Source organism: Homo sapiens, chromosome 6 (genome assembly GCF_000001405.40).
Source record: "Homo sapiens chromosome 6, GRCh38.p14 Primary Assembly".
Taxonomy (NCBI): domain Eukaryota; kingdom Metazoa; phylum Chordata; class Mammalia; order Primates; family Hominidae; genus Homo; species Homo sapiens.
Genome location: NC_000006.12, coordinates 5,068,897 through 5,096,142, shown reverse-complemented (window position 1 = coordinate 5,096,142; position 27,246 = coordinate 5,068,897). Strand labels below are relative to the sequence as shown.

At 45.9% G+C, this 27,246-nt stretch overlaps 2 protein-coding genes and 1 long non-coding RNA gene across 6 annotated transcripts in view, besides 10 other annotated features; 1 reads left to right on the top strand and 2 right to left on the bottom strand.

Annotated features, from left to right (window-relative positions):
• Window positions 1-27,246, bottom strand: part of LYRM4-AS1 (LYRM4 antisense RNA 1) — a 236,681-nt gene that overhangs the window by 144,354 nt on the left and 65,081 nt on the right. Inside the window, exon 3 of the long non-coding RNA NR_126015.1 lies at window positions 23,409-23,544. This is a non-coding gene — a long non-coding RNA (LYRM4 antisense RNA 1). The remainder of the gene's footprint in view (window positions 1-23,408; window positions 23,545-27,246) is intronic.
• LYRM4 (LYR motif containing 4) overlaps window positions 1-27,246 on the top strand; it is a 229,198-nt gene that overhangs the window by 164,808 nt on the left and 37,144 nt on the right. Inside the window, exon 3 of one of the 4 annotated variants that reach the window (NR_134856.1) lies at window positions 20,579-20,670. The exons of the other annotated variants lie outside the window; for them this stretch is intronic. The gene's annotated coding sequence lies outside the window, so the exon portion shown is untranslated. The remainder of the gene's footprint in view (window positions 1-20,578; window positions 20,671-27,246) is intronic. 4 annotated transcript variants of the gene reach the window in all.
• Window positions 567-616: an enhancer, noted in NCBI's record as "active region_23901". NCBI's record gives its function as "activates an Ori minimal core promoter by ATAC-STARR-seq in GM12878 lymphoblastoid cells {active_cell/tissue: GM12878}" and the evidence as "EXISTENCE:reporter gene assay evidence [ECO:0000049][PMID:35858748]".
• PPP1R3G (protein phosphatase 1 regulatory subunit 3G) lies at window positions 6,656-10,802 on the bottom strand. Its single transcript, NM_001145115.3, has one exon. It carries the CDS (start codon window positions 10,655-10,657, stop codon window positions 9,581-9,583), a length of 1,077 nt encoding a protein of 358 aa, NP_001138587.1. The 5' UTR covers window positions 10,658-10,802; the 3' UTR covers window positions 6,656-9,580.
• Window positions 9,831-10,520: an enhancer, noted in NCBI's record as "H3K27ac-H3K4me1 hESC enhancer chr6:5085857-5086546 (GRCh37/hg19 assembly coordinates)". NCBI's record gives its function as "activates a minimal SCP1, AML or CMV promoter by ChIP-STARR-seq in primed H9 embryonic stem cells {active_cell/tissue: H9 hESC(primed)}" and the evidence as "EXISTENCE:reporter gene assay evidence [ECO:0000049][PMID:30033119]".
• Window positions 9,831-10,600: a biological region, named in NCBI's record as "H3K27ac-H3K4me1 hESC enhancer GRCh37_chr6:5085857-5086546".
• Window positions 10,051-10,280: a silencer, noted in NCBI's record as "silent region_16872". NCBI's record gives its function as "represses an Ori minimal core promoter by ATAC-STARR-seq in GM12878 lymphoblastoid cells {active_cell/tissue: GM12878}" and the evidence as "EXISTENCE:reporter gene assay evidence [ECO:0000049][PMID:35858748]".
• Window positions 10,311-10,360: a silencer, noted in NCBI's record as "silent region_16871". NCBI's record gives its function as "represses an Ori minimal core promoter by ATAC-STARR-seq in GM12878 lymphoblastoid cells {active_cell/tissue: GM12878}" and the evidence as "EXISTENCE:reporter gene assay evidence [ECO:0000049][PMID:35858748]".
• Window positions 10,501-10,600: a silencer, noted in NCBI's record as "silent region_16870". NCBI's record gives its function as "represses an Ori minimal core promoter by ATAC-STARR-seq in GM12878 lymphoblastoid cells {active_cell/tissue: GM12878}" and the evidence as "EXISTENCE:reporter gene assay evidence [ECO:0000049][PMID:35858748]".
• Window positions 10,851-11,030: a silencer, noted in NCBI's record as "silent region_16869". NCBI's record gives its function as "represses an Ori minimal core promoter by ATAC-STARR-seq in GM12878 lymphoblastoid cells {active_cell/tissue: GM12878}" and the evidence as "EXISTENCE:reporter gene assay evidence [ECO:0000049][PMID:35858748]".
• Window positions 11,441-11,720: a silencer, noted in NCBI's record as "silent region_16868". NCBI's record gives its function as "represses an Ori minimal core promoter by ATAC-STARR-seq in GM12878 lymphoblastoid cells {active_cell/tissue: GM12878}" and the evidence as "EXISTENCE:reporter gene assay evidence [ECO:0000049][PMID:35858748]".
• Window positions 11,751-11,820: a silencer, noted in NCBI's record as "silent region_16867". NCBI's record gives its function as "represses an Ori minimal core promoter by ATAC-STARR-seq in GM12878 lymphoblastoid cells {active_cell/tissue: GM12878}" and the evidence as "EXISTENCE:reporter gene assay evidence [ECO:0000049][PMID:35858748]".
• Window positions 17,558-17,747: a silencer, noted in NCBI's record as "silent region_16866". NCBI's record gives its function as "represses an Ori minimal core promoter by ATAC-STARR-seq in GM12878 lymphoblastoid cells {active_cell/tissue: GM12878}" and the evidence as "EXISTENCE:reporter gene assay evidence [ECO:0000049][PMID:35858748]".

Genomic DNA, 27,246 nt, shown 5'->3' with positions numbered 1-27,246 from the left:
AAGAAATTGCAGAAATAGCACACAGAGATCCCATATCCCCTTCACGCAGCTTTCCACAATGAAAATGTCTTCCGTAATCATAGTACATTGTCAAAATCAGGAAATCTACTTTGGCATAATACTCGGGGTTTGTTTTGTTTTGTTTTTTGTTTTTTGTTTTTTTGAGATGGAGACTCACTCTGTCACCCAGGCTGTAGTGCAGTTGTGCGATCTCGGCTCACTGCAACCTCCACCTCCTGGGCTTAAGCGATTCTCCTGCCTCAGCCTCCCGAATAGCTGGGACGGCAGGGGTGAGCCACCACGCCTGGCTAATTTTTGTATTTTTAGTAGAGATGAGGTTTCACCATGTTGGCCAGGCTGGCTTCGAACTCCTGACTTCAAATGACCCACCTGCCTCTCGGCCTTCCAAAGTGCTGGGATTATAGGTGTGAGCCACCACGCCCAGCCAATACTCAGGGTTTTTAACCTCAGCAGTGAGGTTTGTTAAGGATATCCTAAAGCTGTCTCCTTACATATTTTAAGTGTGGCCTAAAGGTTTTTCTGTACATAGTGAACTGTAACCTAACTGGATATGTAAACAGACTGTAACCTACATTTGTGCCAATCATTGAGTTTCAGCCAATCACAGGCAGCCAACTGTTGAAATCAGCTTTAAATAAGGCAATAAGCTGTAACCAATCCGGTTGTTTCTGTACCTCACTTCCATTTTCTGTATGTCACTTGGCTTTTTCTGTTCATGAATCTTCTTCTACCACTTGGTTGCACCGGAAGCCTCTCTGAATCTATTCTAGTTCGCAGGCTGCCTGACTCATGAATAGTTCTTTGCTTGGTTAAACTCTGTTAAATTTAGTTTGTCTAAGGTTTTTCCTGTAACAGGTTTAGGTCAAATAATTCTTTATTATGAGGATCTGTTTAGCAGCACCCAGGGGCTCTACCACTAGATGCCAGAATCACACCCTCTCCCCGATTGTGAGCACCAAAAAATGTTCGTAGACATAGTGATCACTTTTATTTTAAATCTTTAATAGATATATAATAGTTGTACATATTTGGGGCTACATGTGCTATTTTGATACCTGTACATGTGTGATGATCATATCAGGGTAACTGGGCTATCCATCATCTCGAACGATTATCTTGGTGTTGAAAACATTACAAATTTTCTCTTCTGGCTACTTTTAAATACACAGTAAATTACTGTGAACTATACTTTCCCTCCAGTACTACCACATATTAAACATATTCCTTCTATCTAACTGTATATTTGTACCCATTAACCAACTCCTCTTCATCCCCCTTCCCCTTCAGCGATCCCTTTTAAAGTACTACATCGCTTACATTCTGTATTCAAATCAGGGCTTTGGTTCCACAATTTGTAGGTGTAATACATACAGAAACACCACCATACAGTCATGCAGCAACAAAAAGTACAAGAAAATCCTCAGAATTGAACAGACATTTTCAAGCCACAAGGATAGAATTACCCTGTTTAAAAACCAAGAAGACATCTGAAGGCTGGGCTTGGACTGCAGTAGTTCTCAGTGTAAATAAACACTGCCAAAACCACATTCACAGAAATCTGTTAGTCATCCCTAATATTCCACCAGGCACGTTGCTCAAGCAAATGTTTCTTCTAATTTGTTGTTTTGTTTTTGTTAAGAAATAGGATCTCACTCTATCATCCAGGCTGGAGTCCAGTGGTGCCATCATAGTTCACTGCAGCCTCAAAGTCCTTGGCTCAAGCGATCCTCCTACCTAAGCCTCCTGAGTAGCTTGGACTACGGGTGTGTGCCATCAGGCCTGGCTAATTTTTAAAATTTTTTTATAGAGATGAGATCTTGCTTTGTTCTCCGGGCTTGTCTTGAACTCCTGGCCTCAAATGAACCTCCTGCCTCAGCCTCCCAAAGTGCTGGGGTTACAGGCATGAGCCACTGCACCTGGCCTCAAGCAAATCTTAAAACAGAGGTAAATGAGGTTTTTTTCTTTCACATTACTAGAAGGAACTGTTTAAAATTCCACATAATCACATTAAAATACACCATCCACAATAGTGGCTCATTCTTGCCACTGCTGTGTAGCTGATAAAGGAGCACTCAGCCCTATCTGGTTTCAGTTAAGTCAGACACTTTGGCCCAAGTCCCAAGAACCAACCTAGTCGGGGTTGGGGGCCTCATCAGGCCCACTGGCAAGTCAGGACCCTGCACAGGCAGCATCCCTAGAAAGCTGAGGGACTCCAGACACACACCTGGCGAGGCTACATTGCATTTTCAGACCCTGAAGAAATGACTTGGACATTTCAGTGATATTACAATGGTGGTCGATGGACTATTACTCACAAGGAAGCCATTGCACATGAAATTGGGTCTCCCTTGCCCTACAGTCCCAAACCTCTGCCAGCACGTAATGGTTAATGGACCACAGGCATCCACTGTTGCCTCTCATGCGTGTGCCTACAGAGAATGGGGCCAAATTGTTATAGAAACCCTTGGATCTAACAAATCTAACCAGATAGTACAGACTCCTTTTAAAAAGTTTTTTTGTAAAGTGGCAAATTATAGCTGGGTATACCAGACTCATTTTGTAAGATTTTCTGAACCAACTGGACATGGCAGAGTCTAAAGTGAAGGCTCAGAAAACTCTGCCTTTGACTTTGAAGCAGCCATCCGGGCACTTCTGCCCAGGCCAGAGTCAGCAGAGGCCAGGGAGGACAAGCCACAGCCTGGGCTTGGAGCCCCAAGGCAGGCGTTCCATCCCCCTCCACTGTCACATGCTCTAGATAGTGATGGGTCATGCCAGGCAGGGACAGCCCCTGGCCTCAGAACTTAATATTTTTACAATACATCTCAAAGGCATCATTTTCTCTGCCAGAAAACAAAAAACAAAAAAACAAACAAAAAGCAGTCTTCCAGGGCTCATTGCACCAATACATAAATTCATCTTTAATTACTTTGGTAAACAGCACAATCCAAAATAACTCAGGATTCTGGTTACAAAAGCAACATCTAGTTCAGGTGGGGTTTTTTGGGAGGGGTTGCGGGTGGGGGACTCACAGACCTTTCTAAATGTGTACTAAGTTATTTTATTTCCAAAGAACATATTGTGTGTTTCATTGTTAACACTTGTCTGCAATTTAATACCCAAGTATATTCACAGATATCGTGGGGACCTTCACACCCAGTTGGATCTATGCTTTTACAATCCTAATGCAGCAAATAGAAACTTACTAATCTTAGGTTCTGCACCTAATGGTGATCCGAGCGTCACAGGGGCTCTGGGTTTGCTGGCTGAAAAATGCAATTTAAAAAAATGCCTGAAGTCTGTGCACATAAACACGACTGCTGCTTCACCAGACTGAAAGGAACACAAACAGAATGCCTCAACCTACTTACAGTGGTTCTGAACATAAACTGACTGAATTTTTTTTTGAGACGGAGTCTCTGTCTGTCGCCCAGGCCAGAGCGCAGTGGCACGATCTCGGCTCACTGCAACCTCTGCTTCCCGGGTTCAAGGGATTGTTCTGCCTCAGCCTCCCTGGTAGCTGGGACTACAGGTGTGCACCACCACGCCTAGCTAATTTTTTTTTTTTCATATTTTTAGTAGAGAAAGGGTTTCACCATATTGGCCAAGCTGTTCTCGAACTCCTGACCTCATGATCCGCCTGCCTCAGCCTCCGAAAGTGCTGGGATTACAGGCGTGAGCCACCACACCCGGCCATTTTTTAAAAATAATGTAAAACGTATGGGAAGAAAAAGTTTCTGGGAAATAGTGAGCTCTTTCACCTACTAAGGGTTTAAAAAGATGCTGCCTCACCTGCACCAGAACAACCTCCTGATGACAAGGGTTCTTTACCCAAAGCTGTCAAGGGAGGAGCTGAAACTGCACATCCTCAGACCACAGCAAGGCAATCCCTTTAAGGGCTGTTAGTTTCCCAGGAACATAAAATTCTCATCTGCCAGAGTGGACGCTTCCTCAACCTGACCCAAGAGTAGCTACTTGTAGAAAAACCATCTGCAGGATGTGTTCATGAAATTTTCAACTTAAAGATGAAATGTTTCAAGCTTAGTTCATGAAATCTGTCTGCCCCACTCCTAATTCATCCAGATTTTCAGACTGAATTTCCTATTTCCAGCTATGTTAGTATGCTGTCGACTCTGTGGGAAATGACCTCAGGTAACAAGTTTCAAAGAACAGGACTTGACCAGTGACAACGATGGGAATGGGAGGAGTAACTACAATCGGAGAAATTATACCAGCCCAATTTCCTTAAATGTCTTATAAGTCACTTGAAAATGGCTTTGCCTTACCAGAAAAGTTTGCATATGTATATGCGTGGTTTGTATAAATGTGGAGTTTCTGGTTGAACTTGCTCTGAACTCATGACTTACTTAAATAGCCTTTTACTACTCCATTGATCTCACCTATTTGATTCCTCTAGTACCAACTCAGTAGGAAAATCTCACCAGCAAATCTTAAAAGGAAGCCCTTGATCTTTGCCATCTCAAACATCTTCATTTAGCTGACATGTGCCTCTGTTCTTTCCAAAAGTTTCCTGTTCACAGTTAACCAAAGTCAAAGAACTAAACTTCACAAAAAGCAAATGCAATGTCTACCAAAAAGATTCAAAAGAGTTGAAATCTGAATGCGCCTGAAGTTACGGTATTTAGCACTCTGACAATCAGACCTTGAAGGATTTAAGGATCAGTGACCGCTGCGTTCTGATGTCACCTCCCTGATCAGCTAAAGGGAGTCCAAAGAGGAACACAACAGTTCACAAGGTGGAAGGTGTCTATTTTGTGGTCTGGAAGCAAAAAACAGTGTGTCCCAGGTTTCCAAGCACCTGCCCACTTACACTCAAGACAGCCAGGACCACTCTGTAGGAGGGGAGGCCGGGACACTGCAATGAGCCCGGATTGTCAGCTGTTCCCAGCCCCTTGCCTTAGTGACTTCAGGCAGCACATCCCTGATTCCAGGAGTCCATCGGGTCCTGGCATCTTGGGGACTGGCTGGACAAACGCTGGACTGCAAATAATCCGTGTTGCCAGTTGAGTTTCCACAAGTCACAGCATATTCTTTTAATCTACAAACCTGGGTCCTATTGTGTGAACCAAAAATGCAAGTTTGATTCAGTTCCATGATGCCATTAATAAAAAAAAAGAAATCACATTTCCTCTCTAGGGCTGTTCCTTACACTCCTGATAAAGAACACATGGCACCAATCACTCTGCCCCACAAGGCTCCAAGCCACAGTGCTCCAAAGAAACACAGAACTGAGTAGGGGAATGAAAGATCTTAGCCTACTAAAATAGAAACCGTTGTGCTAGAAAGCTGAAATATGGAAACCTGTGAAATGACGTATGAAGAATCCGACACTAATGCTCCTAAAATGAACTGAGCAGGAAGGCTGTGGGCGGCCTCCTTGTGGACAGGCTCAAGAGCCACAGCATTCCAGGGAAGCCCTCACCCCTCGGTCAAGGCAGAAGAAAGGACACTGCATGAGGGGACGGTCAGAATGGAAAGCCCACCGCACACCTGAGAGGAGAAAATCCCCTGCCCCTACAGCTGAGGTTTGTGGATAACAGCAACTACCCCCATTCCCAGTTGCTCCTGAAAGGCTGCCTGAGCCGTGGCTCTTGCTGCCCTGGACAGAGACTTCCAGTGTCTCCAGAGCTCAGTGGGTTTCCAGAGTCCACCGTACACTTCCTGGAGCAGGATCCTACCCTCCCTAGTTAAGTCTTGGAACTGGCTGACCACCTTGCTTCATAAACCGGAAGCTTCCCGGGGAGAATATTGTTTCATACAAACTGCCACATTCCCAGCCCATGTTTCTGAAGCTCTAGATAGGGACACATTTCATCCAACATTCCCTCACCCAGTGATCCATGGACACACTTGCCAATAAGGAAGAAACTAGACTCCCTCTCTGGTGGAGGACAGGGTCATTAACTCAGCTGAGAACTTAGTTTTTATCACTAGTGCTAGGTAACGTGTTAAAGTTATTGCATTTTTAAGGAGAATGACCTTCACTTACTCAAGTTGAAGCAAATATTGCTGCAAAAAAGCACTGACTGCATTGCAGGGATTTTGTTTGTGGTGTGTGTGTGGTGTGTGTGTGTGTGTGTGTGTGTGTCTTCCTTTCAGGAAATACACTCTTAAATACTTCCTCACTCTGGTCGTATTGCCCTTTCCTTTGAAATAACTTTTCAAAAACAAAGAAAACCTATTTTTATTACCTTTACATTTCACTGCATAATGTTTGCTATTAGTCTACAATGAGAAGTTGGCACTTTTATAAAACAAAATGGACATTCAAAAGATTGCCAGTGCTAATGCTTTGGAAAGGCTACACACATTGGTGAAATACTGGGCTGTTTAAAATATTTTACCAAATTATGAACATTTGACGCACTAGTCTCTGAGACTGGGAGGAGAGCAAAACTAGGTTTCCTTTCCTAGCAGCCATACTGGATGCTCATTATATTATGAAATAGTTTCTTTTAAAATGAATCATTTGAACTTTAAAATATAGTTTTGAAAATCAGTAATGGTGTTATGACAGAATAGAAAGTCTTCTGTACATACCACTAAAAATCTATTTCTCTTGTTTGAGTCCAGATTTAATGGGTTACCATTTTAAAGGATACTAGACACAAAGATCTCTGTTTGAATCATTATATTGGGCTCCTCATTTAATTTTAAGTAATTCAAAACAATTCAAAATGTTGCTTTATTGCCCCACAAACAAGCATTTTCAAACAATGTTATAGCATATGTATACTGTCAATATCTTAAAAATTAATGTATTTATAAATATATCGGAAAAATATGGTTATGCAATAATGTACTTTTAAGAAATGGTATATCAGACCAAGATTACCTGATGATGCATCAGAAGGCTTCATAGCTTTTATATTTAGTAACAGAAAAATTGTTTCATTTTATCATTTATTTTTCGTCAAAGTTTTTATAAGCATATATGAATTAAGTATTCATTAGTTCATTGATATGACCATTGACCATTTTTAAAAGTCTAAATTGTAATATGTTAACTCCTGATGGCTTGCTGTCAATAAATTATTTTTTTCCTATGATCAGTTTACTTTGGGAAACACTGCCATAGTCAAAGGGATATCTCCAACCCAAAGTTCAAACTAAATACTTCCATTGTGTAAGATGCCACATTTTGAAGCACAGAGAAATATCTGGCAGCTTTGTAGTTTGAAGCCAATTCAAACGGGTGCTATGTTTCAGTTGCACTGATGTGTTACTATTTTTTTAGGTGAAAGAAGGCAACAGGTAGATTCCCCTGCCTGACACAATGATAACCGCACTTTTCACATTTTCGTGTTTATTCTAAACAAGATTACTGAGAGTCATATAAAGCTTTACCTTTACCCAAAGGGGGTTTATTTCAAGTGGCAAAAGCTCACTAAAGTCTAAATGCTTTATTAACTATAATTGTCAGCATATTGTGTTTAAAAAACACTACTTCCCTAGAGCAGGGGTTGGCCAGCCTTTTGTAAAAGGGCCAGATAGTAAATATTTTACACTTTGCCATCTGGTCTCTGCTGTGTCTACTCCACTCTGCTGCGGTAGCATGGAAGCAGCACAGAGAAGACAGAAATGAGTGTGCACGGCTGTGTTCCAGTAAAACCTGATTTGTGAACACTGAAATATATATTTTATATAATTCTCACGTGCCACCAAATAGTACTTTCTTTTGAATTTTTTTCAACAATTTAAAAATGTAAGGCCAGGTGAGGTGGCTCACGCCTATAATCCTAGCACTTTGGGAGGCCAAGGCGGGTGGATCACCTGAGGTCAGGAGTTCAAGACTAGCCTGGCCAACATGGTGAAACCCTGTCTCTACCAAAAATACAAAAATTAGCCAGGTGTGGTGGCAGATGCCTGTACTCCCAACTACTCTGGAGGCTGAGGCAGGAGAATCGCTTGAACCTGGGAGGCGGAGGTTGCAATGAGCCAAGATCGCACATTGCACTCCAGCCTGGGCGACAAGAGTGAAACTCCGTCTCGAAAAATAATAATAAGAAAATTAAATTAAAAATAAAAATGTAAAAACTATTCTTAGGTCACAGGCCCTACAAGAATAAGCTGTGTGCCAAATTTGGCCCATGGGCCAAATGTACGTATGCCCAGCCCTGTTCTATCAAGCAACAGTGAAACTGTCCCTCCTTAGAGACTACCATCCCTAAAACGACTGACTGTACTCGCCATGTGCTGGAAAATGGGAAGACTTAAAAAAAGGGAAATCACTGAGGCAGAGTCAAGGGGCGACAGACCTTACTCGGGATGCCCTCCTGCCCACCCATGCACAGAGGGCCACATCATCCTGGCATCCACAGCCAGCACAGCGACCAAGGCCGTCCATACCCCACCCAACGGGCCTGCAGAGGTGGCCATCTGCGTCTGCGCAGCACTGACTCGCTGGGCATGCCTCCTCTTCCATCAAGTCACCACTCCCCACTGTGGCTCTGAGAGGAACAGAAAGCCACTTTCCCATCCCCCATCCCCTGCGCTGGCAGTCCAGCGACTAAAAGGGCCCAGCTTCTCTGACTGCTAATGGCCCGGCAAGTCTCCTAACAGTGTGCTCTGCCTACACAAAGGGCGCCGGGGCGTGCGTGCCCGGCTCTCGCAGATCACAGCCAGGGCCTGCCCGAGGACTGGCATTTCAATTCACCAAACGTCTTAATTCGGAGGGGGACGGAACACTTTCTACAGAACATTTTAAAGCACATGGGAAGTTTGGGCCCTTTCGCAGTAGAGAGGAAGGAACGAAGGGGAGGAATTTGTAGGCTGTTGTTTAAGGATTGTTAAAGTGCGCACATCATCAGCTGACAAAGATCGGCCGACTGCCAATGCCTCCCCAAACTCACGAAAGCCAAAATTCAGAGTACAGCGTAAAAGGGGGTGCGAGTGGCCTTTACTTTTATAAAGGACATTTGTACACAATGTCGCACAATAAACAACGTCAAGTCTGGGCACACATTACCCACATCTCAGTCAAAAGAAAAGGGTGGCCTGGCCCAGCCCCGAAGGGTTTTCTCTGAGAAATAGGTTGGGGTGTAAAGGTCCCACGCGTGCACCCACAGTCCGTGGCACCTTCCTCTGGTGCACCGTGGCAGGACGCTTTGTTCTTTCCCTAGGGGTCTCCAGCAAACTGCAAGGGCTACAATATGATATTTAGAGTTAAAAACCAATCCCAAGGCCTTAGAACCATGCCCGGGAGTTGGGAGCCTTTTTCTTGGAGGCAGCTGCTCCGGGCCTTGGAAGTTTCTTCCTATTCTGACGCAGGCTGGGAATTCTAGAGGCCTTGTAGGAAGGTCAAACGGACGAGAAGACTGAGGTCAGAGGCTTTCGGAGCATTGCCCGGGCTCTCTAAGCTCGCTCACTTGTCTGCGGGGGTGCGAGTCGACGGTTCAAAGTCTCCCTCCTTTCCCTCCACGCGCCCCTCACGCCAGACTCGCCACGCTCAGCAAAGCGTCCCAGCAAGTTCCTTGAGGCGGCAGCCCGAGCTCCACGTGCTAATCAACCCCGCCCCACGGCTCTTCGAAACTCTCCAGGCTCAGAGCGCGTCCGCAGGGCGCGCGTAGCGCAGCGTGTAGTTGGCGCCCGCGTTGTTGTCCCAGTACTCGCCCTGCGCGCAGCGGTAGCAGACAGCGAAGTGGACCGCGACGCCGCGCTCGTCGGCGTCCTCTTCGTCCTCAGGCTGCAGGCCCGGGGGCAGGCACAGCGAGAAGTGGAAGCACTCGGCGCCTGGCTCTTTCTTGGCATCCCCGGACCCTGGCTCGGAGGCCCCAGACGGTGCCTCTGGCTGCTGTGGCTCCAGCGGCTCGGGCTGCAGCTCAGCCGGCACGTCCAGGAAGGAGCGCCACTCGGTAAAGGTGTAGCGCACGGTCACGGCCCTGGGCCCAGGGCAGCTGAGCACCCGGCCGGAGCCCTTCACCTCAGCGCCCGAGGCCGTCGAGCACTGCACGCGCTCCAGGCACACGCGCTGCCGCTGCAGACGCTCGGCCGCGGCGCTCGGCCCCGGGAGCTGGAAGAGCGGCCGGAGCCGGGAAGGCGGCGCTGAAAGGGGCGCGGCCACTGCCGCCGCGGCCAGCAGCCCCCCGAGCTGCTCCAGGTCCTCGGCACGCATAGGGAAGCTTCGGAGGCGCGAGAGCACGGCGGGCGGCACCTGCGGCTCCTCCGCCTCGCTGAAGTGCTTCACGCTGGCCAGGCTTAGCCCCAGCGTGTCCGCGAACTGCACCCGCTTCTTGCACTTGGCGCAGCAGCCGCCCGGGCCGAGCTGTGCGTCCTCCGCCCCCTCGCCGCCCAGTGCCACCGCCTGTTGCTGCTGCTGCTGCAGGAACTTGGCCGCCTGCAAGATGGGGTCGGCGGGCAAGGAAAAGGAGCGCGCGCGGCAGCGGCGGCGGCATTCCAGCAGCTCCTCCTGCTCCTGGGGGGCGGCCTCTTCCTTCGGGGACAGGGGCCTATCCCCTAGCTGAGCGTCAGGACTCGGGGTCTCCGAAGCGCCACCGCCGTCGCCGCCACCCTGCACACAGGGGACCACCGGGGCGGGCAGCTCCTCGGCCGGCGGGGCCTCTCGGAAGGGCGCTGGTCCCGGCGCCTCCAAACTTAGCCGCGCCCCTATGGGCTCCATGACGCCGTTCGCCCCTGGACTTGCTCGGGCCGAACCGGGCCCCTCTGGAGACTTAACTAACTCCTCGGGCCGTGGAAGGAGCGCAGGGCTGCAGTTCAGGCTCGCCCTCCCCGAGGCGAGTCGCCCCAGGCTCGACAAGACAACGTAGTTCCACTTTGGAGCCTCCGGCTTTTAGCTGCGGCTGCCCAGGGCGAAGTGGGAGGAGGATGCGGGCCTGGGGCCGGCTCCGGGGCCACGCCGCCTCCCGGTTGAACCTGCCCGCGACGGGGGAGGGCCGGGGGCGGGGAGGCGCGGCCGCTGGGACACCTGGAAGCCGTGTTCCCGAGTGCTCCGGTGGAATGCGGGGGGCGACTTTCTGTCGTTCGCGGGCTCCCTGCAGCCCTCACCCGCACCCCCGGCGGGGCTCGCGTCTGTTCCGCTTCTTGAGTGCCTCGAAGTGGGGGTGCAGAGCTCGCGCTCAACCTTCAGAGACCCCCACGTGCACAAAGTCTTCCTGCCCATGAACTTGGCCTGACGGCTCTGCCCCCAGAGGGTCACTGAGCGCTCTCCTCTTGGCTGCCTCACGGGCTGGGGAGTCCCCGGTGCAGCGCGCAACTGGGGAAATCTTGCCTACGCAGAGGCTGGAAGGAGGCCCATTCCGCGCCGCCGGAGAGCGGGGAGCGCATCCCTTCCCTTCTGCTCCTGCTTTCCCCAAACTTCAGGGCGCCCCGGGTTCCAATCCCACTCGGAAGCCTGACTCGGTCAGGCGCGCTCCGCTCTGCTCTTCCGAAAGCCGGGAGGCAGGAGCCGCCGCCCCCATCTGCCCAGTGGCGGCGCGGGGTGGGCTGCGGCCAGACTGGGGCGGGGACCGTGTGGGGACGCGCCGGGGAGCGGCCATGGCCCGCAGCCGAGAGCGGCCGGAGGCCATTCGCGCCAGGCCCGGGAGCACGTCCCGCCCCTCCCCCTGTCCCGCCCGACGCGCCCGCGAGTCCGCGCCCCGGGATCCCGCAGGGAGGGCGGAGAGGGGGCCCCGTGGGGCCGGCGCCCACGCGGCACGCACCACCTCCCACCGCAACCGGACGCCAGCGCCCCAAGCACCCTCCCCGCCCACCGGGAGTGGGGGCGTGGCCCGCGCCGGACTGCGCTGTCACCGCCCTGCTGCTCCGGCCTTGCCAGGGGCCAAGGCCCGAACCTGAGGCCGGGGAGGGGTGGGGAAGCGCGTCGTGGTACCTAGGGATTGGGGGAACGTCTAAAAGTGGTGTTTTTCTTGTTTTGGTTTTAAGGCCACCCTGAGGGCCATCTAAGTCAGTGATTCTACTTCAGCATGCACGGACATCACTCGGGGGCCCGTTGTCACATCACAGGGCCCCACTCCCAGAGTTTCCTTCTTTCTAACTTTTTCGAGATAGGGGTCTTGCTATGCTGCCCAGGTTGGTCTCAAATTCCCGGCCTCAAGCAGTCCTCCCGCCTCAGCCTCTAAGGTAGCTGGGATTACAGGCGCCCCCCACTGCTCCCAGCTCCCTAGCGTTTGTGACTCAGTGGGCTTGGGCTGGGGCCTGGAAGTATTTCTAACAAGGGGATGCTGATGCTGGGCTCTGGGGACCGTATTTAAACCTATGTGGATGTGTATTCAGTTACTTATATAGAAAGTTGGGGATTCTAGAAACAGAACCACTAATTAAGAAACGTAATTAATTGGGGCTTCATAACTAAAACATGTCATGGTTTGGCAGAACTGAAAGGGGCCAGGGTTTTAGCCATGTTGGCAGAGGGCAGGCAAAAGAGATGGTGGGTGAGGAGCGTGTTAAGAGCTTACATTGATTGACTGAGCACCTACAGGATGTCCTGTCCATGAAATAGGAATCACATCATTCCTGCCTACATATAGGACACAACACTGCAGAAAGATTTCTCATCGCCAAGGCCCCACAGGGTGGCTTTCATGGGATTTGAAGCCAGGCAGCTTAGAGGAAACATTTCCCCCATCACTACTAAGCCTGGGCTGGGAGTGATGTCCTGTAAAGGGGGCCCTGCCGGTCCCCTTGCTGGACTCTTGCTGGTCATTTTATGCCCAGTGTGGAATTCCATGACTGTGTCTTGACTTGGGCATGGCATCTCCAAGAGGCCCCAGGCGCACACGGCCTGTCTTCCTGCAGCAACTCTGATTTCGGGAAGGACATTGCTTTTACATTTAAATACACATTGCTACATTATGGAGTTAAATACAAAATTCACAAGCTATTTTAAAGATAAAATAAGACTTCAAAGAGATTTTGAGGTGGTGGCGACCCTTTGGGCTACAACCCTCACGGGGGCACATGCTCACTCCAGGACAGAGAAGGAGGTGAGGGAGGTGCTGGGGCATAGAATTTAAGGAGGCATCACTCTCAGGGTCATGCAGGTGCACTGGTCCCAGCCCCGGCCCACCCTCCTCTGTGCGGTGGAAATGCTAGAGGTCCCACCCCCGGGGAGCTCTCAGTGCGTGGGAGGGGCCAACACTATACAAACTCAGCCCCTGTGGCCAATGCTGAGAAGGTGGTATCTGACCTGGTCAGGAGGCCTGTGAGGAAGGTGAGGTGGAAGGAACAGCTCGGACTGCAAGGAAGAACGTGCTGGGCCACGCAGAGGCTCTGTTGGAGGGAGTGTCAGGGGGCTGGACTGGAAGAAGGCCAGGGTGGCCTGAGGGCAGAGAGCACAGAGGAACTGGCGGAGCTGAGGATGGGAGGGGACAGCCACTCAACCTTGAGCAATGAGAGGCCGTCAAAAGGTTTTGAGTCATGAATGTGACTAACCAGATTTAAATTTTGAAAAGATCATTCTGGATACAGGACAAAGAGCAAATTACTGGGGACAGAAACAATGTGAGTGAGCCCCATAGGAGGCTGTTGCCATTGTTGTGGTGAAGGGTGATCATACTTAAGAGATGATGGTTGTGGGGTGGACAAATCTGAGCGCTATTTAGGAGTGAAAATCAATGTAGCACACTTATGGCCCCAAGTGGGGGTAGGTGCAGGGAGGCAGGGGGAGGGAGGTGCCTTAGGATTTGGACTTGAGCTGTTGGGTAGACAGTAGCAGTCACTGGGGCAGGGACCCCCAGAAGAGGAATAGAGGGAGGGCAAGATCATGAATTCTGTTTTGACCAGGTTGAGCTTCTCTGGTTCTTACCAACACCAAGTGGTGTCTAACACCAGTTCTCCAACAGGGTGTCCAATAATTCAATTCTGACATTATCTACCTGGAGCTAGTGTCTGTCTCCACAGCTTAGAGGCTCAGTCCCACAAGACGGCCCCCACTTCAGAAGCCACTTGCAAACGGGGTGCCCAGGCTGCCTGCATTTCTGCCCCTCCAGCTACAAATTAGTGTTCCCACAACCCATCCCCAGCTTCCATATGACTCACGGAACTCAGGAAAACACTTTGCTTGAGTTCACCAGTTTATTATAAAGAAGAAAACTCAGGAACTGGCAAAGGGAAGAGATAGAAGACAGAGTGTGCGATGGGCATGGGACTTCCAGGGCCCCTCTGGGTGCACCAGCCTCCAGGGTCTCCACATGCTCCCCACCCAGAAGCCCCACCAGCCTTGCTCAGTCTGCAGCCCCTGCCCCTTTCTGGAGGTCAGTGGGTGGAGTTAAAAGTTCCAGTCCTCTAATCACTTGGTGTTTCTGGTACCCAGCCCATCTTGAGGCTGTCTAGAGAGCCCACTCTCAGTCATCTCATTAGCATAAATTCAGGTGTGATCAAAAGGGACTCTTTATAAAAAACAATTATGTTACAACAAAATAACACTAACAATGTAAGTAATAACAAATGTTCTATCAGAAAATTCCAAGAGTTTTAGCCTTTCTATTTCAGGAACCAAGGACAAAGACCAAATGTCTATTTTTATTATACTACAGGAGGTCTAAAGCTGAGAAGGGAAGAGGGCCCAGGACTGAGCTTTGAGCAGCCCTGATGTTCCCAGGTCAGGAGGAGGAGGATGAGCCTGCAACAGGGATAGAGAATGAACAGCCAGAAGGGTTGGAGGGAATGGAAGAGGGTTGTTCTCAGAAGCCAAGGAAGGACTTCAGAAGCAGAAACGGTGTGCACCCACCTTGCAGCCCATGGGGACTTCGGGTCCTCCCCCTTGCCTCCTGAAAGGTGCAGAAACAATGGGTGATCTCTGGCTCCCACACCACTCCTCCACTCTGGCACAATGGATGGTGGGGATGGACTGCTTTTCCAAGCTCACTGTCCCCTAAGCTTTCTCCCGGAGACAGGGCCCAGGTCTTCTCTACTCTGAGATGCAAAGCCCTGAAGTTAATAGTTAAATGATGTTAACATGTAAACTAACTTCTTGAAATTTAGACTGTGCAGTCTACCCCCCCCCCCCCCCCGCCCAAGTGTGTTCAGTCCTACTTCAAACATCATGTGCCTCCACTGCTAAAATATTTACTCCGGGCATTCAGAGGCTCCAAGCTTTACCGTTTGTTCGTGTTACCTATTGCTGCATAACAAGCCACCCCAAACAGGGCTGTTTTTAAAAATAATAACAGTATTTATTTTCTTTATTAATCTGTAGATTGGGCAGGGCTCTCTCAGGGATAGCTTGTCTCTTCTCTATTTGCAGTGGTTTGAAGGCTGGGGCTGGGATCATCTGATCACCAGGTCTGGAGTCTGGGCTGGGAAATGTCAAACAATTCAGTTGAAGTCATTGGAAAGGAATTTTCCCCTTTGCATTGAAAACAGAAATGGTCCTGGACCCTTCCTAGATATACCAAGGCAATGTTACACTCAAACCCTGTAGTCGGATTCCATAGGTAGCATTCTCAAACCCCTCAAGGAAGTCATAATTGGTTCCGGCACTGCCTTTTAAGCATAAATATTTGCCAAATTACCAAATGTTTCAGCTGTTTCCCAGGCCACACTTGCACAGCCCGAGATAGTTCAGGTGCTCCCGGTTCGGATGCTCGACACCAAAAATTATGAATGAGTAGACCAAAAACCTGGAATAACTTGGCCAAGTAACAAAACCAGGCCTTACAGCTTCCAGACCCAGATTGCAGGCCTCCTGTATTAGATATTTGGCAAACAGTTCTGCTCTTCCAGGGGCACATGGAGGTATGCAGATCCCAGTATGACCAATGACAAGGGTCATGAAACACATTAGATCTGGAGAATTGCAGGTTCCACTCTGACTTTGACCATGAACAGCACTGGTCTTTTTTTCTCTTTTTATTTTATGTGGCAACAAGGCATGTAAAGGGTTTTCACTTAAAAGGTCAGGACAGTTTGGACTCAGATATCTGGGACCTTCCATCACCATGTACTCCACCTTGAATACTAGCCAAATTACAAACTTGGGCTCCTTCATTCATATAGTAGTGCCACATAAACATACCAGATGAGATGTCATAGAATACCCACTATATCCTCACTCCAAGTTCTTTTCAATGTCGAGGACCTGATTTCCAAGTTTTAGAATTCATGGCTTGGAAAAGGTGATCCTAAATATTCCCATGGTAATAGAACCAGAGTTCAATACCACTATGCAAACATTGGAAGTATTCCAGTCAGAAATGAATAGTTTAGCCACTGTTGTACTCCAAAATAGTTGTGCCCTGGATACACTGCCCAACAAGGAGGAGCTTGCACAATCATTGGTGAAAAATTCTGCTTCCTTGTGAATCAGATAGGACAAATGGTGTTTAATTCGTACCTTTAAAAACAAAGTTAACACTCCATCAGATCAATGAGTCTCAACCATTTGATTGGACTGGCCTATTCCCAGGATAGGGAGACTGGTTTAATGGTATAAGGAGAAGTATGTTTAGTTTTGTTGTTGTAGTTGTTCTGTTTGTTTATTCTTGTTCTAATCCATCTTCTTCTCTCCTTTTGCAAATCTCTTACCACTCAGCTACTGATTCCATTTTTCTCTTCACATCCACCAAGTCAGCTTTTAATATGTGACGCTTCCTATGAAGTTTCAGATAGGGAATTGAAGGGGATCAGAACACGTGACCCCAAAATATGCCATTTTGGCACGTTGATTATTTTGAGCTGGAAGCAATTGAGAAGATGCTGGAAGACCTCTCAGACTTCCCCTTTCTACCTAAAAGCAGGACATAAATATTCTATAAGAAAGATGCCTTCCTTGCACCAAGAAGAGAATATTCTTATCATTAGAGATGGGAAGTCTATGCAGAGATGAATCTGTGTAAACAAACCTACTAAATTAACCTTTGTCTTTCATTAGTTTCCTCCATATATTTCCTAGTTACTTTCTGACAGTTTACTGATCCCAGCCCAAACCCCTTTTTCCTTTGTTTTATTACATCTCCACAATTCTTTGTTAAAAGGGTGTGTAAGCTCTCAGACCTATCCACTTCTTTGGGTTTTTATTTCTTACATAGGAAGGGTTTTGTGTACACATAGAAATATTCGTATTAAGTAAAATTTGTGTGCTTTTCTCCTGGTTAGCTGCCTTTGTGAGTTTAATTCTCAGGCCCAGCCATAGAACCCAAGAGGATAGAGGAAAAGCCTTTCCTCTCCTACACCATATATAATATGCCAAAGTATTTTTAAATATTTAAAAATTTTAAGTATTTTAAAAGAGCAAAAGCATTTTAGAAATAATTTTCCTAACTCTTCCTTGGCTTTTGAAAGAGATTAGCTTGCTTAAGCTAAAGCCACAGTGATTTTTCAGGGGCTTAACTGCAGCAGTGGAAACTTTCAAGAAAAATGCCCTTATAACTTGAAGGGATCAAGTTCTATAGCACCTTAGGCCCCATTTATCAACACAAACTGAAATATGGCAAGGGAATACACTTGCAATGAATTTGAAAAAAACATGACCCTTCTTGCCTGGATCATTTGTTTTCTCATATGTGTGCCTTCTAATAGAATTGAGGAACTTTAAGGGCTCAGAATATAAAGCCAGGGAGATTTAAATAATGTGTTTAACCGAAGCCATTTAGCCAATCTAGAAGAGCCAGGACTAGAATGACATCTAGTACAGCTGACACCTACTGGTCACCGTGTACTAAACACTGCTTACATCATTTATCGTCCTCATACAGCCCTATGGGATGAGGATGATGATTATACCCAACAACAGGTCTTAGAGGCTGAAAGAGGTTAAATGAATAGCTCTTGTTACCCAGGTAGCAAACTGCTGAGCCAGGATTTGAGATGAAGCACGCTGGCACAGTCCACTGTCTGAGCCCCATTGCAGCCCTCTCTGGAATTCCACTTGAGACAGGTCATGTTGCTTTTGATTAAAAAAAAAAAAAAGTACCCAGCTGAAAGGGGCCATCCCACCTTCTTACAGCCAAGGGGATGAGGAGAAAATAGGAAAGATTTAAGGCTTTTTATATGTTTTTAAAATTCTTAATCTCTTCGGCTTCTCCATTTCAATGTGCTTTACTTATGTTTACTTGATTAAGACTTTAACATGATTTGCATAATCTTGTCTCATTGTAACTTGTAGGTCAGGACTGACTGGCCTGAGGATGAACCCCAAAATGTTTCTGAAAGTAACAATTATGTAAACTTTACATTCTGCAATTATTCTTAACATACAAGCAATAAAAATTTGTTAAGATTACTGAGGAAAGTTGTAGAATCATCCTTCATATTTTAGAAGAAGAACCCTAAATGGATTTTGCTTCTAAAGAATCAGTTTTAACTCAATTTTGCTTCTATTTATGTGATTCCATTAGTTGTATAATCATTTATTTTACATGCTGTTTTCAGTAATAAAATTCTTAGAATATTTCCACCAAATAAAAATTAAAGATAAAAAACCCTTTAAATTCTAAAGGGACCAATAGAATATAGTTGACTTTCTATCTATTAATTCTTCAAGTTTTAGTGTCAAGTTTTTATTCTCAGGTAGATCTTACACCCCTTTTAAGTCATTTCACTTAATATTTCATAGTTTTTTAAAATTTAACTTTGGATGACTGTAAATACTCATCATGGTAAACACAAATATGTAAAAATGTCAGCTCTTGATACACGTGACAGGATTCTAACTGATGAACAGAAAAAACCACTGGGAGTCCAGGACTGATGGCGACCTCCCACTTCCACATCATCACCCGGAGCAGGTCCTGTCCCCAGCGTCTTTCAGCTTCTGGGAGGAACGCCCTTCATTCACCTTCTCAACTTCCCTGTCCACAGAGCCTGCCCACTTTTTCTACGTGAGGCAGAACTAAAAGGTTAGGGAAATGACCGCGTGTGACAGTTTTCTTTGAGGGAAGAACTTTGCGTTCTCACTGTATGACAGAGACCATGTCTTCCGTAATCCTTATAGGAACCTAGTGAGGTGGTGGAGTAGACGGCGTGGCTGACCTGCCCTAATGGGTATCCCCACTGTCCCACACACAGCCCCTGGCTCAGGGGAAGCTGACCCCAACCTGCTCCAGAATAGCGTCTGTGTGACTTAAGAGCAGCACCCCGGCCTAGGACGGGTTCAGGAAGGAGCAAGTAAGATGTGGTAGGGGGAGCCTTCGAGGAAGCTCCTGAGGGAGGTTTCCTTTTTTCTCAAGAGAAAGTAGAAGATATGGCCTCTCTTGTTCCCTGGACATTATTGTATCACCTTGAGTGGTTGCAGCCACCCTGCTACTGTCAGAGGTGAGGCCATGAGCATGAGAAATGGAAGAGAGAAGAACGGAGGTCCTTGGCGTGATCGTGTGATTGAGTGACTAGATCGATGCTTCTCAATGAGCCGGCATTTTCAGCAGAACAGTTCCTTGATGGGGTGGGCTGCTACAGACATTCTAAGATCTCCAACATCCATGATCCCCACCCTCAGAATGCTGCTAGCAGCCCTTGGAATTGTGACAACTGAAAGTTCTACACCCCTGTTCCCAAGCACCCCTCCTTAGGTGGTGATACCATCCCAACCCCATTGACAGCAAAGATGCACTGTGGCTAGACCTCCTATTGTGTGGGATGAAAAATACAACCTTAGGTTTCAGCCAGCTGGAGTTGAGTTTACTGCTGCTCGCAGCACAGAGTGTCCTAACAGGAAGACACTATTATAATAATTTTGAAAGAAAGAATACATTGAGCCTCCAAGAGCTCAAGAAATGTGCCCAAGGCTATCAATGAATTGGTAACAAAGCCAGGATTTGGCTCAAGGTCTAACTCTACAGCCTGGCTATTTTCTCCCTGTCTACCTTCCTTCCAGTCACATGCAAGTTACTCTGGCTGGTTTGTTCAAAGGGAAACAAACAAAAAACCAACAAAGTACAGAATAGTTATGTGGAAAAAAAAAAATAGCTGGGCGCAGAGGCTCACACCTGTAATCTCAACACTTCCGGAGGCCAAGACGGGTGGATCACTTGAGCCCAGGAGTTTGAGACCAGCCTGGGCAACATGGTGAAACCCTGTCTCTACAAAAAAATAGAAAAATTAGCTGGGCGTGGTGATGCACACTTATAGTTCCAGCTACTAAGGAGGCTGAGGTGAGAGGATTGCCTGAGCCCAGGAGAATGAGGCTGCAGTGAGCCATGATCGCACCACTGCACTCCAGCCTGCGTGACGGGTTTTTTCTGAGAACCCTGTTTCAAAAAAAAAAAAAATACATAAACCCAGTTAGCAGGGGGTGCCTCTGAGGAGCTAAGGTGTATGAAGTGGGAGGGAAACTTACTTTTCATTCCAGATCCTTTTATACTGTTTGAATTCTTTAGTGCAAATATCTTTCCATTTTGTAAAACAGCAAAATTTAAAAAGCAATTATGAATAAATGTTATGTTATGTATATTTTGCCACAATTTAAAACATAATAAGAATTTTTTAAAAAGCAATGTAGCACTCAACATTGTTCTAACAGCATTTGGATTCATTACAGCATTTGACTTCTGTCCTCTCATTAGCCACCTTTGGCCACTTGATCTTATTTCTATGCCCATTCTTCCTTTCATTATAATGTCTTCTTGTCCATTCCTTCCTTTTCCAGATTGCTGTTGCCTCCCCAGTGTGACCCACCTGCAGTCCTCTGGTGCAGCTCTGATAGAGAAATCTTTGATGCCAACTATATCCACCTACCAAGTATAGTGTGAATTCCTCACCCCAACATAATCTGACACTGACCATATGTCCATCCTCCTCTCCTCTATCCCCCTTAAGATGGTGTTTTCTGCAGAGCTTCCCCTAGGAATCCCTTGGGCTAATGTGAGCTCCAGTCCCTCTGCTCCAAATTTAGCTGAGAAGTCATACTTCTACCTGTTTTGCACATTGAGATTCCCTAGGATTTTGTTTGAGCAAAGTGCTTGTGTTAGGCTATTCTTCCATTGCTATAAATATCTGAGACTGGATAATTTATAAAGAAAAGAGGTTGAACTGGATCACGGTTCTGCAGGCTATACAGGAAGCATGACACTGGCATCTGCTTGGCTTCTGGGGAGGCCTCAGGAAGCCTACAATCATGGCGGAAGGTGAAGGGCACCAGCAGGTCACATGGCAAGAGAGGGAGCAAGGGTGGGGGGAGGTGCCACACACTTTTAAACACCCAGATCTTGCAAGAATTCACTCCCTATTGGGAGGACAGCACCAAAGGAAGAGCACTAAACCAGTTATGAGAAATCCACCCCCATAATCCAATCACCTCTCACCAAGCTCCACCTCCAACATTAGGGATTACAATTCAACAGGAGATTTAGCAGGGACAACAGCCAAACTATATCAGCACTCCACAGAAAAACAGTATCACCATTATGACCACCATCACCATCACCACCATCAACGTGTATATAAAAGCCAGTACCTTAGAGAAATCTCCTCCAAATCACTTCCCTTAATCACTTCCCTTACTTGTGCTTCTCCATATATACCTATTTAACAAACCTGCATGTTGTGCACATGTACCCTAGAACTTAAAGTATAATTAAAAAAAAAAAAAGAAAGAAAAGCAACTCCTCACTTGTTCAAGTGTTATCATGAAATTGCCACAACCCAGTCACAGCATAGCTTCAAGCTGTACTCAGAATTCTAGTTCTCTTGCTGCTATTTCTATCTGCATTGACTTCTTCCACTGAAGCCTTGAACCTCTCAAAGTCATCCATGAGGACTGGAATAAACTTCTTCCAAACTCCAAACTCCAAAAAAAAAAAAAAAAAAAAAAAAAGTACCTGTGCTTCTCTCCCCATCTCATTATCAAAATTAGCCAGTCAGAGGCAATTTACAAATTTTACCAACTTTTTGCCATTTTTCTAGACTGACCTAGTCAGTAATAATGGCTTCCACTCAGAGGCCAATTTATGGTGAAACTACTGAAGCTTCAGTGCCCTTCGACCTCTTTTCTATGTATTTACATAGCCATGCTTTTGTAGAATTTGCAAAAGTAAGGTATTTCAACTGCATTCAGTTAAGCCCACTTGTATAAGAGGCTGTTGGAGTGGCCAGTGCGTTTTGGGGATCCAGATGGGGGGCAGGTGAATTAGGGACAAATAAGGAGCAGATGAGTTTAGTGGTGTACATAGAGGTAACCTGCAGCCACGTGTGTCTAGCTGAGGCATTGGTGGTGTTGGAATAGTGTCAGAATGGCTTCCAAGAGGCTTCTGTGGCCCCCTGTGCTCCCAAGCAGCAGCATGACAGGAAGGTATAAGGCCAGCCAGTCGCAGAAGAACGCCACCTCCAGATGTTCACTTCCATATTACCCACTCCCCTGGGTGTGGCGGGGCCTAGAGCCCCCTGCCTACTGAATAGTTACGGGATGTCATTTCTGTGATTAGGTCTCTTGCCAACGCTCCCTCTTGCTGACATTCTGATGGATCCAGCTGTTGTGTCTTAAGATGCTTTCTGGAGAGGCTCACATAGAGAGTCACATTTTATTTTATGGTGATCATGGAAAGTGGAATATATCAGATTTCTGTGCTTGTTGGCATAATCCTATACTATATGTATAGGATTATATATTATACAGACTATATATAAAATATATATACTATGTACTATATATAATATAGTATTTATAATCCTATATAGTATAGGATATACATATAGATATATAGAGAGATATATATAGAGATATATATAGATATATAAAATAGGAAAAAAAATATATATACACATAGTGTGACCCACCTGCAGTCCTCTGGTGCAGCTCTGATAGAGAAATCTTTGATGCCAATATATATAAAAAATATATATATTTTTTAACAGTCTTGCTCTGTCACCCAGGCTGGGGCACAGTAGCACTATCTCAGCTCACTGTAACCTCCACTTCCCGGGTTCAAATGATTCTTGTGCCACAGCCTCCCGAGTAGCTGGGATAACAGGCGTGTGCCACCAGGCCTGACTAATTTTTTTCTATTTTAAGTAGAGATGTTGGCTAGGCTGGTCTCGAACTCTGGCCTCATGTGATCGGCCCACTGCCCGCCTCGGCCTCCCAAAGCGCTGGGATTACAGTGTGAGCCACCATGTCCGGCCCCTATACTACATTTTTTAATAACTGACATACAAAGGAAACTTCATAAAGGTCTTCCAAAATTTTCCTACAAAAATATAAAGGAAAATGTATTATAAAGACATGTCATGCAATTAATTTAAAAATTATGTTTCATACATTTTGTGATGTTTGTGGTATATGTCAGTCTTTAAATGTGATTTTCTTATTCTAAATAAATGCTTCTTACATCTAATTTTTACTGGAAATTTTATGAACTTTTTCTAAAAGAAGTCTTCATCCCCTGCCCCTCCCTGATCACCTATAATTAGAAAAGCTTCAGGCTCCATAGAGTCTGGATCTGCTTATAAAAACAAACAAACAAACAAAAACCTGGTCTTACCTTTGTTTAAAACTTTGATGTGGGCCGATGCGGTGGCTATTTCTACCACATCTGCGTTCTACCACACTGCAGAGGTTGCAGTGAGCCGAGATCGTGCCATTGAACTCCAGCCTGGGCAACGAGAGTGAAACTCTGTCTTAAAAAAAAAAAAAAAAAAACTTTGATGTGAGAAATGCAAATCAGAACCACAATGAGATATCATCTCACACCAGTCAGAATGCCTATTATTACAAAGTCAAAAAACAACAGATGCTGACGAGGTTGTGGAGAAAAATGTAGGCTTTTACACTGTTGGTGGGAGTGTAAATTAGTTTAACCATTGTGGAAGACAGTGTGGCGATTCCTCAGAGACCTAGAAGCAGAAATACCATTCAACCCAGCAATCTCATTACTGGATATATATCCAAAGGAATATAAATCATTCTATTATAAAGACACATGCACACATATGCTTATTGCAACACTAATCACAATAGCAAAGACATGGAATCAACCTAAATGCCCATCAATGACAGACTGGATGAAGAAAATGTGGTACATATACACCAAGGAATACTCTGCAACCACAAAAAGGAACAAGATTATGTCCTTTGCAGGGACATGGCTGGAGCTGGAGGCCATTATTCTTAGTAAACTAACAGGAACAGAAAACCAAATACTGCATGTTCTCACTTATAGTTGGGAGCTAAGTGATGAGAACACATGGGCACATGGTGGGGAAAAACACACGCTGGGTCAGTCAGAAGGTTGGGGGTGGGAAGAGGGAGAGGATCAGGAAGAACAGCTAATGAGCCAGGTGTGGTGCCTCACACCTGTAATCCCAGCACTTTGGGAGGCCGAGGTGGGCAGATCACTTGAGGTCAGGAGTTCGAGACCGGCCTGGCCAACATGGTGAAACCCCCGTCTCTACTAAAAACACACACACAAAAATTAGCTGGGCGTGGTGGTGCATGCCTGTAATCCCATCTACTGGGGAGGCTGAGGCAGGAGAATCGTGTGAGCCAGGGAGGCAGAGGCTGCAGTGAGCTGAGATCGTGCCACTGCACTCCAGCCTGTGTGACAGAGCAAAACTCTGTCATATATATACACACACACACATACACATATATATATACATACACACACACATACATACACACACATACACATACACATATATATACATATACATATACACACACACACACACACATATATATATAAAGTTTATCATGAGTGCTGAGTTTTCTGGCCCTCCCTTAAATTTGATGTCCAAGCCAAGTACCTTGCTCACCCCACCGGAGTCCCAGCCCTGCTTGCTGGAGGTGGTTGAAAAGTAACCCAAGATACATTTTCTTCCTGAGGAGCCAGCCCTTGGGTTAAAGTTTAATTTAGTGTGGTTTAAAAAAATTTTTTAAATAGATATCATTGTATATGACTTTTATGCACAGACTATCATTGAAAGGTTATCCAAAAACTAGTAATAGAGTTCACTTTGAGGGAGGGAAAATGGAACGATAGGAAAGAAGCTTGTCTTATACTTACATTATAAATTTTTTTTTTTTTTGAGACAGAGTCTCGCCCTGTCACCCAGGCTGGAGTGCAATGGCACGATCTTGGTTCACTGCAACCTCTGCCTCCCGAGTTCAAGCGATTCTCCTGCCTCAGCTTCCCGAGTTAGCTGGGGTTATAGGCGCCCGCTACCACGCCCAGGTAATTTTTGTATTGTTAGTAGAGACAGTTTCACCATGTTGGCCAGGCTGGTCTCGATCTCCTGACCTCGCGATCCGTCCACCTCAGCCTCTTAAAGTGCTGTTATTACAGGTGTGAGCCACCGCACCCAGCAGAAAATGTATTTTTAAACCTTTTTTTTTTTTTTTTTTTTTCAAGACAGGGTCTTCCTGTCACCCAGGCTGCAGTGCAATGGTACAATCATGGCTCACTGCAGCCTTGAATTCCTGGGCTCAAGCACTCCTCCACCTCAGCCTCCCAAGTAGCTGACAGGCATGCACCACCATGCCCAGGTAATTTCTTTTTCCTTTGGTATAGATGGTGTCTTGCTATGTTGACCAGGTTAGTTTTGATCTGTTGGCTTTCAGCAATCCTCCCCTCTCAGCCTCTCAAAGTGCTGGGATTACAGGTGTAAACCACCGCACCCAGCCTGTTTTTAAATTTTTAAGAGAAAATTTCTGAAGATAAATATATTTTTTCCTTATGACAATACTTGTAATAATCACAATACTTATTACAAACAATCAATACTTGTTTACTATGGAAAAATTAGAAAACATAAGATAAAGTAGGAAATAAAAACATTAAACATTTATACTTTCACTATCTAGCAATAATACTGTTAGTAAACATCTTGCTGTTTATCTTTTGTGCCCACCCATTTTCACTCCTGCACCCTCCATCACACTTCATATCATTACTGCCTTGGTTGGTTCTGACTTATTTCCAGATTTTATCTCCAACTAGCATATTCTGCTTGCAGAAGAGGGACTGTGTCTAATTGGTCTTTGTAAGTTTCCTAGAGTCTGGCTTTGGAGGCTTGGTCTGAACTAAAGACCTAGGAGACAGAACACCTGGGATTAAACCTCAATGCCACTGTTTCTGCAAGTTATATGGCCTTTCTGAGCTGCAGTTTCCTTATCTGTAAAATGGAATAATGTTAGAGCCTGCATTGTAGTGTTGCTCCATTATGAACATTGAAACAGGAAAATTCATGCAAATTGCTAAGCCTAGCATGTGCTGGTGCACAGTAATTTCTTGCTGTGATTACGTGTCAGCATGGTGCTTCCATTGATTAACTCACCTCACAGTTATTGCATGCTGGCTGTGTGACATGCCTCCAGGTGCTAGGGACGCAGCAGTAAATAAAACAGACACAAATCCTTGCCCTTGGGGAGTTCATATTCTATTGTCTGGGAAAGGGAGACAAACAATAAACAAATAAATACATAAAATACATAGTGTAGGCCGGGCACGGTGGCTCACGCCTATAATCCCAGCACTTTGGGAGGCTGAGGCAGGCGGATCATGAGGTCAGGAGATCGAGACCAGCCTGGCCAACATGGTGAAACCATGTCTCTATGAAAATACAAAAAATTATCCAGGCGTGGTGGCGCATGCCTATAGTCCCAGCTACTTGGGAGGCTGAGGCAGGAGAATTGCTTGAACCCGGGAGGTGGAGGTTGCAGTGAACTGAGATCACGCCACTGCACTCCAGCCTAGTGACAGAGCAAGACTTCGTAAAAACAAAAAACAAAAAAATATATATATATAAATATAATATATATATAGTGTAGCTGATGATATATGTATTGTGGAAAATATAAATCTTTGGACATAGTAAGATGTGCGCCGATTGACTAGTTTTTTTTTTATGTTAACATGTAGATGTTTATTACTCTTGTTTTTTAACAAATTAATATCTTTACAATATCTGAGTTTTAATTTCTAATAGAGTACGTATTAGTAGATATAACCCAAATAAACTGATGGTCTTTGGGGTCCTTAATAACTTTGAAGAGTGAAAAGAAATCCTTAGAACAAAATGTTTGAGATGCTGCCCTACCGCGTTTGATCATGGAAGCTTTTCCATGTGGAACAGCTTAAGTATACAATGGGTTTTCAAAAAGTTCATGAAAAATGCATATTATTTAACAACTATGCATGGATTTCCATTTTTTTTTTGCACCAAATAAACTTGTACTAACTTGTTGTAGCATGTCTGAAGAGGATCTAGGTTGAGTCTCTAAGAAGGATAAAACATCAGTTTGAAAAGACCGCCTATTAGAGAAACATGAATCCTGCTAAAATTGAAGCAAGAAGAAACATCAAACTTATGGTGAAGTTT

Coding starts and splice junctions, on each gene's coding strand:
- PPP1R3G (NM_001145115.3), bottom strand. CDS start 10,657: ATGGAGCCCATAGGGGCGCGGCTAAGTTTGGAGGCGCCGGGACCAGCG.